This window comes from Homo sapiens, chromosome 2, assembly GCF_000001405.40.
Source record: "Homo sapiens chromosome 2, GRCh38.p14 Primary Assembly".
In the NCBI taxonomy this organism is placed as follows: domain Eukaryota; kingdom Metazoa; phylum Chordata; class Mammalia; order Primates; family Hominidae; genus Homo; species Homo sapiens.
The window spans coordinates 184,460,884-184,474,582 of record NC_000002.12 but is presented as its reverse complement, the minus strand read 5'-3'; the positions used below and the strand labels follow the sequence as shown (position 1 = coordinate 184,474,582).

Sequence of the window (13,699 nt, the reverse complement as noted above, 5' to 3'; positions counted from 1 at the left end):
CTTTTCATCCCTCACATCTGAGATTTTAGCAGAATGAGTGAGATTTAAATTCAGTATATATTAAGCTATCACTACTTATCAAAATATTCACTGCCATCAATTTGCCACAGTCCACCGTAACCTCTTTTTGATTATTGAAATAGCCTCTGAACTGGTTTCCCTGCTTTTTAGTTTCTAGTCCTATGTAGTCTATTTTCAACACAGAAACTAGACCTATCCTGCTAAGTAAAGATCATGGGATATTGCTTATTTATTTTTCCAAAATTATCCCAGGACCTATAAGACCCAAATGACCTTACTCTCTGGCCTAAGCTCCTATAGCACTCACTCTTCCCCAGTTTTCTCTGGTGAGGACATTGACTTCCTTGATTTTACTCAAACATATTAGACATACTTCTGCCCAAGGCTTTTGGCATTTTACAGTTCTCTCTGCCTTAAATACACTTTCCTTGATAAAGTAATATATTTACAGGGCCCATTTCTTCTTTACTTGAGGCCATTACTTAAATGTAACCTTTTGAATAAGTCCTTCCAGGCCACTTTATCTGAAATTTTCATAGCCTCTTACCCACTCATCAACACATTTTTTCTCTTCCCTGCTTTATTTTACTTATTTGAACTTATCACTACCTATCATGAAGAATAATATACTTATTCCTTGTATTTAGTATTTCCCTCACTACAACATAAAATCCAGGAGGCCAGGATTTTTTTTGTCTATTTTGTTTTGTCTGTTTTATTTACTGCTGCCAACCTTTTCACATAATAGGTCACATATATACATATGTGTGTATATGTATTATATGTGTGTATATGTATTATATGTGTGTATATATACACACGTGTATGCATGTGTGTAAATTTACATATATACACACATATGTGTGTATGTGTGTATATATGTGTGTATGTATATTATGTGTGTATACACACATACACACATATATACACATATGTGTACATACATATATACACGCATACATATATATGTACATACATATATACACACATGTGTACATATATACATACACATATATACACATATGTATATCTTAAATGCATATATAAATGAATTAAGAATGTACCAAGAATATTAATAATTGATTATTAATAATTAATTCATAATTAATTATTAACCATATAATTATTATATACTATATATTATAATTTTGTATATTCCTATATTTATTAATTATATGAATATATAAAATTATAATAATGAATACATAATAGCAATTAATAATAATTGATATTATATTGATATTAATATATTCATTGATTAATCACCATTAAATGATTAAATTATATTAAATAATTAATATCTCAATTAATATATTAATATTAAAAATGATTAATTCAATTAATACTTGAGGACATTAATTTTCAAATTGTTTGTTATAAAATTGTTTCTATCCTTATATTTAATTCCCTTAGTGTTGGTAGGTAGTCTTTTGTGTTACAAATCTTGTCAATGCTATTTTTTTTTTTTACCCTAAGCTAGAATTGTCAAATATGGGTTTATTGTATTGTTCCTTTCAAATTTTGTTTGTTTATTGCCTCACATGACTGAAAAAGTGTTGCCATTTGTGTTAGTTGGAATTCTCTGAGAAGCTGACTCCAAAACAGGATTAGCAGTGGGAGAGATTTATTAGGAGCAATGCCTGTTAGGGGAAATGAGGGGAAGTGTAGAGTCTGGCCGAGCTATCAGACCACCCTGTAGTTTTAATTTCAACAGAAAGAGTTTTAATTTCAACTGAAAAGAAGGTTAGATGGAAGTGTATTTGACTCTAGTGCAATTCCAAGGAAGGTTTGGTAAGACTATCAGGGAATTCTTGAACTAATGGCACCCCTCAGGGGAATGCCACCTCTCACAGAAAGAGACCTGGCTTATTATCCCAGCTGCATTCAGCCACTGGTTAGGAGCAAGCCATGCAAGGTGTGGCTTCAGCAGGAATGCAGTTATGGACTTTAAAGAGCAGCCATTGGGGACATCAGCAATTACACTCCTGGCAGGGCAGTCAGAGATCGCTGAGGCACATTTTTATAGACACATCATATTTGTTTTCTATTATATGATATTTTGCTTTTTAAAAATCAGTAAGTTCCTTCAAATTCCCATAATTTAATTTTATTTCATTTTCGAATTTAGTTAACAATTTGAATAGAAGATGAAAACTTGCCACATCACATTATTTGAGGTCCCTGAAATGCTCCTATTTTGAATAAAAAAATAAGCTATGAAAATTTGCCCTACCACCCAACACACCAAACAACCAAACACCTCTCCACTGCCTTCCTGCTCTTTGGCCTCTCCTCTGTATTTTGTCAAGTGTCAAGTCACCAATTATAACTGCCCGCATCTGCTGTGTGCTGGTTGGGTTTCTAGTCCTGGCAGTGCAACTCCACATTCTGACCACAGGACCCCACTGCCCAGATGGATGGTTCAGTTCCTGTATTGTCCCTTTGCCCAGCCTTCACTGGGAACATTTCATGATGAAAAAGTCATTCTTCCCTTCATCCTCCTCCTTCTTACTGCTTGGAATATGGGTATGATATCTGGATTTGGATTATGCGTACAATGTTTGGATTTGGCAGCAGTCATGTTGTGACTATGAGGTAATAAGCATGAATACAAAAGCCAGAACTCCAAGAAAGATATGGAAGAAAGAATCCAGGTCTATAGTAACATCTTTGAATAATAATATCAGGCCCAGGCCAACAAACTTGGGACTTTCTATCAAATGAGAAAAATAAACCCTCATTAGTTTAAGCATTTTGATTTCCTTTCAAAAAGCTGAAGGTATTTCTAATTTATGTACTAGTGAAGCAATAGATTGTATTATTTAGGTTATAAGAAAATGGCTGTAGCATTTTCATAATTTAGGACTTATATCACAGTATAAATGTAAATACATATTACATATATATAATTTCCATCTCTAATTGTACAGTAGCATAGAAGGTATAATCTAAATATCTACATATTATGTATTAATAAAACTGAAGTTAAGAAAATTGGACTGTTTTTTCTTCTAAGTGTTGAAGTTGGGTCAAGTATCTGGAACTCCATGTTCCTTCTTACCTTTTTTTAAAAAAATAAATTATATTTATTTTGGAATAAACATATAGCAAAATTAATCTACTTTAAATGCAGAGTTTGATGAGTTTTGCAAATGTGTAGTCGTGTAACAAAGACCACAACAAATAGAATATTCGATCACCCCAAAATTTCTTATGTTCCCATTTGCAAACATTAACCACTGACTGTCTTAATTATGGAATCTCTAGAGTGTTGTATAAAGGGAATCATACAGTCTATAGCCTTTTGTATCTGCCTTCTTTCACTAGCATAATTATTTTGAGATTCCTCATGTTCCAGTATGCACTAATCGTCTATTTGTTTTCATTGCCAAGTAGGAGTCCACTGTAGTCCATGTTGTTTTATGCATTTAAGAATATATTCCATGTTGTTCAATGCATTCCCAAGTTAATGCGTATCTAGTTGTTTCCAGTTTGGAGCTACTATAGTAACACTACTGTGAACATTTGTATGCAGCTTAAAAAACTAAAAACAAACAAAGAAACGACAAAACGCTGATTTCTTTGCCATTACCCAGGCAACTGCTAATCATCAAATTAAACAATTTAATGTGTACACCTAGTGTCATATCTCAAACACTGATGTTATTCCCCACAAAAGAAATTAGATATTGAATATTTACGCTCATGAAATTATGAGGAGAAAGCAACACATGAGTAGTATGAAAAAATTTTCATGTATAGTGGCTTAAAAAGTGTATAAATTAAAAGGATTCTAAAAATGTAAAAGTAAAATGGATGATAGAAAAACATAGTTGAAGTGCATGTGGATGTTTGCTAGTTTAGAGTAAATATTGCATGTTCATAAATCAAATTCAGGACACTGTGCTCTCACATTTTTGTCAATACCAATCACAAGATATGGCAGGAATAGGAAAGCTGTTTAAATTTTGACACTACAAAATTGAATCTGGCCTTTGAATGCAATATTAAATATTATAGCACTTTCAGAAAATCTTTAAGAAAATATAAATATGAACTCTAAGAACATTAGTTTAAACATTTTGGTTTTCTATAAGAAGGCCGATATGTACATAAGATATAAGCAACAATAAAATCAGAAGATAAATATACACCCTTCTTTTCTTGGCTATTACAATTTTACTTTTTTTAATTGATATATAATAGTTGTGCAAATTTCTGGGGTACCTGTGAATTTTAATACATGTATACAATGTGCAATGATCAAATCAGGGCAAAAAGAGTAGCTGTCATCTCATACATGTGTCTTTTCTTTGTGTAGGAAGTATTCCATTTATTCTCTTTTGGCTATTTTGGAATATACAATCAATTACCATTAACTGTAGTCTCCCTACTGTGCTATAGAATACTAGAGCTTATTCCATCTACCTAAGTGTATTTTTGTACCCATTAACCAACTTCTCTTCATCTCTCCCTCCCCATTACCCTTCCTAGCTTCTGGTAGCCACCACTCTACTCTACCTCCATGAGATCCACATTTTTAGCTTCCCCATGTGAGTGAGAGCATGTGATGCTTTTCTTTCTGTGTCTGGCTTATTTCACTTAACATAATGACCTGCAGTTCCATCCATGTTGTTACAAATGACAGTATTTCATTATTTTTATAGCTGAATAATATTTTATTATGCATACAGACTACATTTTCTTTATCCTTTCATCCATTGATGTTTCTTTAAAGTGTTGCAAACAGAAAAGAGTGCTAACACAGGAGGATGTGTTTGAGTTTTGTACTTTTTAAAAATAATCAAATCTGGCTCCAGTTTCAATTGCTGTGTTTCTAACTGTATAATATGCCAAGGTCTTTTGAAGGTTCAGAAATGAAAAAAGCTGTTAAAGAAAATTTATGATATTGCAGATGAATTGATAACTCCACTTTGTTGAAAGTATTTGTCTAGATTCATTAGCAATACAATATTAACTAACCTTGTATGAAAAGTACATCAGACTTCATGTACACAAAAACTGATGATTCGCTCCTTTTTCTGAGATGTGATCATATCCATCCAAAGATGCTAGGATTTCAAGTTCCCATGTTGTTATATGTCTATCTTCTAATAAATGCGGCATTGAAGGCTGCATTTTTCTTCTGTTTACTATTTTGGGCTGTCTCCCAAATATTTAAATATTTGCAACTCTCAGTTTTGCCTTTTCCACACACTTTAACAACTTTTAGTGGAGGAATAATGCTTAAAAGCTTTTACTTGCAATTTTGGTTATTACATAATACTATTGCCAGATAGTATGGATATTATTATTCCTGCTTTTTATTTTTTAAATACTTTTTTTCCATGAATGTTCATATCAGCCTTATTAAAAATAGCCTAAACTGTAACCAAGCCAAACGGTCTTCAAAGGCTAAATGGTTAAATAACTGTGGTACATCCGTACCATGTAATACTGTAGTTTGAACTATAGTACAAAGGATGTTCATGCAAAGGATAGCTTGAATAAACTTTAAGGCAATTATGCTGAGTGGAGAAAAAAAGCCAATTTCAAAAAGATACAACCTGCGACCTTCCATTTACATTAGATTCATGAAATGACATAATTATAGAGATGGAAGAAAGGTTAGTAGTTGCCAGTAGTTAAAGATGTAGAGGAGAGAGTGTGTATATGAAAGGGCAAATGAGGGAGTTCAAGGTGATGATAAAGCCAGTCTCTTAATGGTGGTGGTAATTACACAAAGCTACATGTGTAATAAAATTTCACAGATCTATACACACACACAAATGAGTACAATAAATAACTGGAGAAATCTGAATAAACTCAATGGATTGTACCAATTTCGAATTACTGATTTTAATATCCTTCTACAGTTACGCAAGATGTTAACATTGGAGTAGGCTGGGTGAAAGTGTACATTTCTTTGTATATCGTGAATCTACATTTGCTTGGAAATTGGAAGTAGAGAAAATACATGCAGCAACAGACTGAAATAGAATGCAGAAACTGATGTGAGAATCTAGCAAAAAATTAACGTGATCTGTGAAACTTGAAAAAATAAATTAATTACAAAGTATTAGAGGCGGTATTACATGTGGAAATAATTCAAGACTTCAAAATAAAACCCTTACTTTTTTAAATTCAGTGCTCTATCTTGCACTTTTATTTATCCATGATTTTGTGGCATCACAAATTGGTCATTTTGAAAATATTGGTTCATAGAGTTACATGGATCTTACAAACGTTGACACATTTCCTTACGCAATAGAAAAATATCACATTCATTAACACCACCACAAATCTCATGAGGAAATCAATTCAGTATTGGGAAGCTGTGAAGCTTATAGTATAATCAACAATAGAAACAGCGTAAGTCTTTCAAAATTATAAGTTTTGCTTAAAAGTTCACATTTTATCTGGCAATTAATACTGCATTAGTTTTCTATTGTTGTATAGTGACTTACAATAAATCTAGCATCTTAAAGCAACACATACTATTTTCATAGTTTCCATGGGTCAGAGTTTCCAGAGTCTCACAAGGCTAGAATGCAGATGTCAACCAGGCTGCATTCTCATCTGAAGCCTTCATTGGGGAAAAATTGCTTCCAAGCTCATTCAGGCTGTTGGCTGAATTCATTTCCTTGCAGCTCAATGACTGAGGGCTCTGTCTTTATGTAGGCTGTCTACTGGAGTCCTCCCTCTAGTTCCAGTAATTTCTGCTTTTTAAAAAGTAATACCGCCAGGCGCGGTGGCTCACCCCTGTAATCCCAGCACTTTGAGAGGCTGAGGTGGGCGGATCACCTGAGGTCGGGAGCTTCAGACCAGCCTGACCATCATGGAGAAACCCTGTCTCTACTAAAAATACAAAATTAGCTGGGCATGGTGGTGCATGCCTGTAATCCCTGGTACTCGGAAGGCTGAGGCAGGAGAATCACTTGAACCTGGGAGGTGGAGGTTGCATGAGCCGAGATTGCACCACTGCACTCCAGCCTGGGAGACAGGAGCAAAACACCGTCTCCAGAATAAATAAATAAATAAATAAATAACACTTGGTTATGGCATATTATACAGGCAATTTATGTATGTATCCCATACATTTTTAGAGACAATATGGTCTCATGTGTTGCCCACTGGGCACACAATTCAAAATACATGTATGTAGTGGATATGAATCTCAAGGCTACAAAAGTGAAGTGTGCAAGAAATGGCACGTTATTTGTTAACAGTGCCAATTGGGCTGTGAATTTAAACCCCTGTTCTGCTAAGCTAGAGGAAACAACGAACTCCTTTTTCATTTTCCCTCCTTTAGTTCTTAGGGACCTTAGCCAGTGCCGAGATATTGGTGATTTATAGTGGTAACAAGGGGTCCTCTGTTCATCAGCGGTTCACATAAATACTGGAGACACCTATCATTGCATTTTAGGACTGAGCTCCCTACCTGTTCCATGTCACTCACAGGAAAGGAGAATATTGTGAGGGTGACTATGCTCCAGTGTAGCCATTTCTCTGGAAATTTGTTGGCTCGGTGTCCTCTGCTTCAGAACCTAGAGATGTGTCTCATTTCTCCTTCCCTCTTCCCTTCTTTTTCTGGGTAACTTTCTGGATTGTTTGCTTGAAGAAGTTGAGTATCTGCCTGAGCAAGGGATGCAGGGAAGTAGGTACAGATAAAAAAGAAAATATGTAGAGTAACATCTCAGAATATTATACCACATTACCCTTACTAAGTCTTTGCATTCCTGCAAATAATATTGACATGTTTTCCAGATGCTGTTAACCTTCAAATTATCTTACTCATATTATCAGCTTTCTTGTACTTTCCCTCAAGGAGTAAGAAATAAAATTGACCTGGTATTTACAATCATTATGTGACCCTTGTGTCTTAGCCTTTGATGGTGATTAATTTCTACCCCCTCAAGACTCTCTTTTGTAGCACTGACCCTCTAATAGAACTTTATCCATGATAGAGTGATAAAAATTTCACTGAGGCAGATTGAACCGAAAATAACTAGTTCCTAAACTGGGAAAGAACTGATGCCTGATTTCAAAACAGCTAGATGTAGTCAATTTTGTAGGAAACATGGTCTGATTATCTTCTCATTGTCCCTGACTCTATATGCCCAGACTTTGGACTTCACAGTTCAGGTGATGTGCCCGGTTTAGATGATTGATGGATAGTGTGGTTACTAGACTGCATAGGTGACAGCCCTCACATTCAACCCTGTGATTGGAGCAGACATGTCAGAAGAAATGGATACCTATGGAGCTTTGTGGATCTGGAAGAATTTCATTCCTCATTGCTCTCCAATTCTACAAGACTCTTCAAACTTGCTCTAACCTGTGCAATACAAACCATAGATTATTTCCCAGTGGAGGCAGTTCATTATGACATGTACATTTTTCATAATAACATGTGATTTTCAAAATTTCTACCGGGGAAGAAATATTTCACTCTGATGCTGGGCAATTTACTTTCCAGCGTTGTTTATAAAGTCTGTTTGTTTTCCAAGACGCAATTTCTATATATGGCCCAAGGAGGGCATATTAGAGACAAATTGGGAGAAGTTCTCATGTTTGGCACATTGGCGGAGTTTCTTCATCTTTTTTTAAGGGTTACTTCATTTTAACAGCTGTTTCTTGAAATACTCAAACGAAGGGTTGCCATTAGCTTCCCCAATGTCTATAAAGCGTTGATCAGGGTTTTTAATTCTTGAAACAAAGCTCTGTCTGCCTCGCCAGTGCTGCTAAATACCTCTATCTAGAATGCCTGGCTTCTCTTGTTAAACCTTATGTTTCTTTATTTAGTCACTAGGACGTTCTGTGTATGTTGTGCTTATTTAAGTTAAGCTTGAAGCAGAACTCGCCCAAGTCAGCTCCAAATAGGTCAGATCCACCCATCATGAGTCTGAAGTTCCTCAGACCAGTATCCTTCCTACTCCATACAATAATTCAGTTCTTTTGAAAATCATAGTCAGAGGTAGAGACTTTTAAATCCACCTTCTACATCAATGTCTTTCCAGATATTTTGCCAGGAATAAGAAAAACAAAATATCAGCATACTCTAACAAGTCTGGTTTTCCTCTTCTTTTTATTCTGCAAAATCCTGCTTCCTCTACTAGGTAGTTTTAAAATACTTACCAATACTCAGCCACAGTCATTCTCTTAACAATCCTCTAGAGTCACCAAAAGCAGCAGCAACTTCTGAAATTAAACCTTAGTGTTGGGTGCTATTTTTGTTCATCTTCTCCAATAATCTCTATTTAATTTTTTAAAGAGCTGAATTCACATTTGATGCAACAACTAATAAACTTATTTTATTTTTATTTTTCTCTTTTATGGCTTACTTTTTGTACTTTTTTTTTTCTTTTCCTCCTACTAGCTTGTTTGGTCTATGTTGTATTTATCACCTTCCACCTTCTTTTCAAAAATTTTTTCAAGGTGAGTGTTCTACTTTACCTTTTCATTTCTATCCTGCTAACATCTTAAATAATGAAAGCTTTTAAGTACTTTTACTGCATCATTCTTAAGCCACATTTACAATAGCAAAGGAAACTTATTTTCATTTCCTTTCAAGTGTCATTTTTATCTCTTCACTTACACTTTCTAATTCATACTATTGTAATCTATTTAAAGTTAACTAAAACTAGCTATAAACTTTGCATCCTTTTGTTTTTGTCAGTTTAGACAGATTTCTTTCTTATGACCCTTTCTCAGAATACAAGAGAAATATATTCTTAGAATCCTCATATTTACCTAAATAAATAACTTTCTTTTGTCTAGATGGATGAATAATGACTTAGCTGGGTGTGAAATTCTTTCTGATTCTTTTTTTTTTTTTTTTTTTTTTTTGAGACATATAGTCTCACTCTGTTACCCAGGCTGGAGTGTAGTGTGCAGTGGTGCAATCTCTGCTGACTTCAACCTCCGCCTCCTGGGTTCAAGTAATTGTCCCATCTCAGCCTCCCTAGTAGCTGGGACTACAGGCACGTGCCACTATGCCCACCTAAATTTTATATTTTTTGATAGAGACAGCTTTCACCATGTTGGCCAAACTAGCCTCAAACTCCAGACCTCAAGTGATCCATCTGCCTTAGCCTCCCAAAACGTCGGGATTACAGGCTGAGCCACTGCACCTGGCTCAGTCTCATTATTTTTAAGTAACTTGGTATGACGTCTTAAATGATTGTTTAAAAAACATTCTTTTTGTTCTTAGAATTTATGAATTATACCACCATATGCATAGCTCAAGTTCAGGTATAAGCATATATTTTCCCTTTAATTTGGTAAAAATGTGCTCTCTACAAATTCAGATCTTTTTTTTTTTTTTGAGTACAGGAAAAATTTTTCTAATATGTCTTAGGAATATATTTTATTCTCTAATTGAAAACTTAATTAGTATTACATACTTCAATTTCTTTCCTCTTTTTGAAACTATTATCTCAATATTAGTTGTTCTAGATCTGTTTTAAAGACAAGAATATTTTCCCTTACACTGTATTTTGGGTAAAAGTTCACTTCGTCTGCTAGTTTGCTAATTTGAGTTAATTATTACCTTCTTTCATACAAGAAATGCTAAATACTAAATGCTAAGTAATATAAAATGCTAAGTACTAAATTTTTATAGATTATAAATTTAAGGTCCAGGAAGTCTTTTGTGTCTGTGATTGCTTTACTTTAGTCTCCTAAATTCCCATGTTATATCTGATAAAGGTATTATTGTCTTTTCTAGTAGTGTATTTCTTATTAACCACCTCTCCTATGTGGTCCACTTGATCCTTCTCTCAGTGGTTGCGAAATCTCATAGATAAGTTTTATTTTCCTAAATGTTTGCTCACTGGAAATCAGATTTCACTGTTATTGTACCTTACTTCTGGGCCGTTTGGCAAACAGTGTCTCTGCCCATGTATGTTAACAGTGCTCCAGGTGGTGAGTTGTCTCTTTCATTTATGCACCTGGAGGAAGGCTCTCTCTCTTTCCCCAACTTCTCCTCTGCAAGTGCTTCACAGGCTATGTATCAAAGTCCACCTAGAGAAACAGAAATCATACTAGCTATTTCAAAATAAGAGATGCAAAACACAGAACGTATTCACTGCTCTTAGAAGGCTGAAAGACCTGAGAGAGAGTGATATAGTTCAGAGTCGGAACTTTGGAAATGTATGGAGTTGCCACAGCTGGGATGGGGGAACAGGGAGACTTTAGCTAGTACTGAATCCTTTGGTGTTTGCTGCTAACATGGAAAAGAATCTGAAATAGGATCAGTGTTGCTCTCTTCTTCAAACTTCTCAGTTCTGATCAGTGCCTGATATTGGCTGAACACAACTGAAAGCAAGCTTGTAAGGAAGTCTATAGTTTAAATATTCTCAGCTTCAATATTTGAAATAGGAATACAAGAGTAGGTCTGGGACCAAGAGCTGAGAAATTGAAATAAAATAATAAGAAAAAGCTACAAAGACTGCAAAGGTTATAAAAGTTGAAAAGTAAGCATACTTCTACTGTCAGGGGCAAAGTGGATATCACAAAGATATTTGCCTCTTGTAACTTCCTAGAGTTCAGAAAGCCTTGCCAGCTATGCACACTAATTTTAGGCTATTGAAGAGACAGAGAATATAGACGTTCATCCACTATATCAAGACAAATACGTATTAGATCCCTAATAGTAGGCAAACTATTTGAAAATACTTGACATTTTATAAATGCAAAGAAAGATGGAAATACATTAATGTCCTGAAATAAATTCATAATAATTCTGTTTCTATTTTTGTGTCCTTGTGATGGAAAATGTCTTATTAATCATCTTCATTTGAAATGTAATTTGCCAAATACAATTATCTTGTGTGATCTTTTCTACATTGGTAATCTGCTAATTTCTTAACAGAACAGAAAATGCTTTAAAGTATATCCTAAACACTAAAATGAAAATGTTTTTTTATAATTTTTGAACTAAATATTCAGAGAAATAGTTTTGAAATCATTTTTGATTCTTAATCACAATGGCTTATTAAGGTGTTTGATTACTTGTTGTACTCAGTTAAATTATCCTCCTGTGCTTTTCATATTTTTCATTCTTCCTTTCAGATAACCAAGAAAATAAATAGGTTCTTTGTGATTTTTTTCTTAGGAAAAGATAAAGAAAGGTGATAAGTCGTTTTGTAATATGCCTATCTGGAACCTCTTTTAATTTGTAAAGAATGGCCCTATTAGAGTTTATGAAAAATTTAAAAATAAACAGTCACTACTCTTTGCATTTGCTAGTTTGCTGATCACTCACATTTCATTTTATTGTTTGTATAGTTCAGCAATAGTTCCAATAATGTATTTTTTCATTGTTTTATACATGAATTGTCAGTGAAAACCAATATCAAGTGCTCCTCGGGGTGAATAAATAAATAGGACATTATAAAAAACATATAAAATAAGTGCATTTTGCAGGTAGCTAAAATTCCATTCTTGGGAAATTTAAAGAGTAAAGGGGCATTACAACCTAAAAAGAGTTTCTACATACTTTAATTTGACATCTTTTAAAACTGACTTTAGAATAATTTTGCTTGAAATATTAGTCTAACCTTGAACAGAAACTGTTGATGAAAAAGGACTACATTGGCCGGGCGCGGCGGCTCACGCCTGTAATCCTAGCACTTGGGAAGCCGAGGCGGGCAGATCACGAGGTCAGGAGATCAAGACCATCCTGGCTAACACAGTGAAACTCCGTCTCTACTAAAAATACAAAAAATTAGCCGGGCGCGGTGGCGGGCGCCTGTAGTCCTGGCTACTCGCAGGAGAATGGCGTGAACCCGGGAGGCGGAGCTTGCAGTGAGCCGAGATCACGCCACCGCACTCCAGCCTGGGTAACAGAGCGAGACTCCGTCTCAAAAAAAAAAAAAAAAAGAACTACATTAATCATTTATATTATGCAAATAATATATATTCATTGGTAGTTTCTATTTTGTGAACATAAAGATAACACCTATTTTCACATAAAATTAATAATTATAGTACACCAACATAAAGGTTTAAAAAATGCTCTACTTCATGACCGTGTGTTAAATATTGCTCTCAATTTGGCAAGCATGCATATACATATCTATATGCAAAAATAGTATGGAAAATGCATATATTTATACTATATGTCTATTTATAATAAGTTAACTCATGATGTACCTGTTATTTTAAAGCTTTTTCAATTTCTGTAAATTGTCATGACTTAATTTCCATACCTGATAGGGGTTATATGTTATTTTCTAATGTTTACGTAGTACTCTGTTGTATGTACTTATCATCATTTAAATACAGATTCCCATATCAGATAGTTTTCAGTTTTTAGCAGTTTAACATTCAATGTTGGGATGAACAAAGCCACACATGCATTTTTTCAGCTCTTGTTCAATTATATTCTTATAATAATTTCTAGAAGTAGAATTAGTAAATCAAATCATGTACAGTAGTCCCCCTTTATTGGTGGGGAATACATTCCAATACCCCAGTGGGTGTCTGAAACCATGAACAGTACTAAAGCCTATATATGCTATGTTTTTCCCTGTACAGATGTACCTATGATAAATTATAATATATAAATTAGGCACAGTAAGAGATTAGCAATAGTTAATAATTTCATAAAACAATTATAAAAATATACTTTAATAAATGTTATGCAAATGTGGCCTTCCTCTTTCTCTCTCTG

The 13,699-nt window shown here is 34.3% G+C and overlaps 1 long non-coding RNA gene across 1 annotated transcript; it reads right to left on the bottom strand.

Annotated features, from left to right (window-relative positions):
• Positions 1 to 7,395: 7,395 nt before the first annotated feature.
• Positions 7,396 to 12,654, bottom strand: LOC105373779 (uncharacterized). Its single transcript, XR_923656.1, has 4 exons — positions 12,585 to 12,654; positions 10,885 to 11,046; positions 8,280 to 8,359; positions 7,396 to 7,657 (listed from the first exon to the last, which is right to left on the bottom strand). It is a non-coding gene; the product is annotated as an uncharacterized LOC105373779 (long non-coding RNA).
• Positions 12,655 to 13,699: the final 1,045 nt, after the last annotated feature.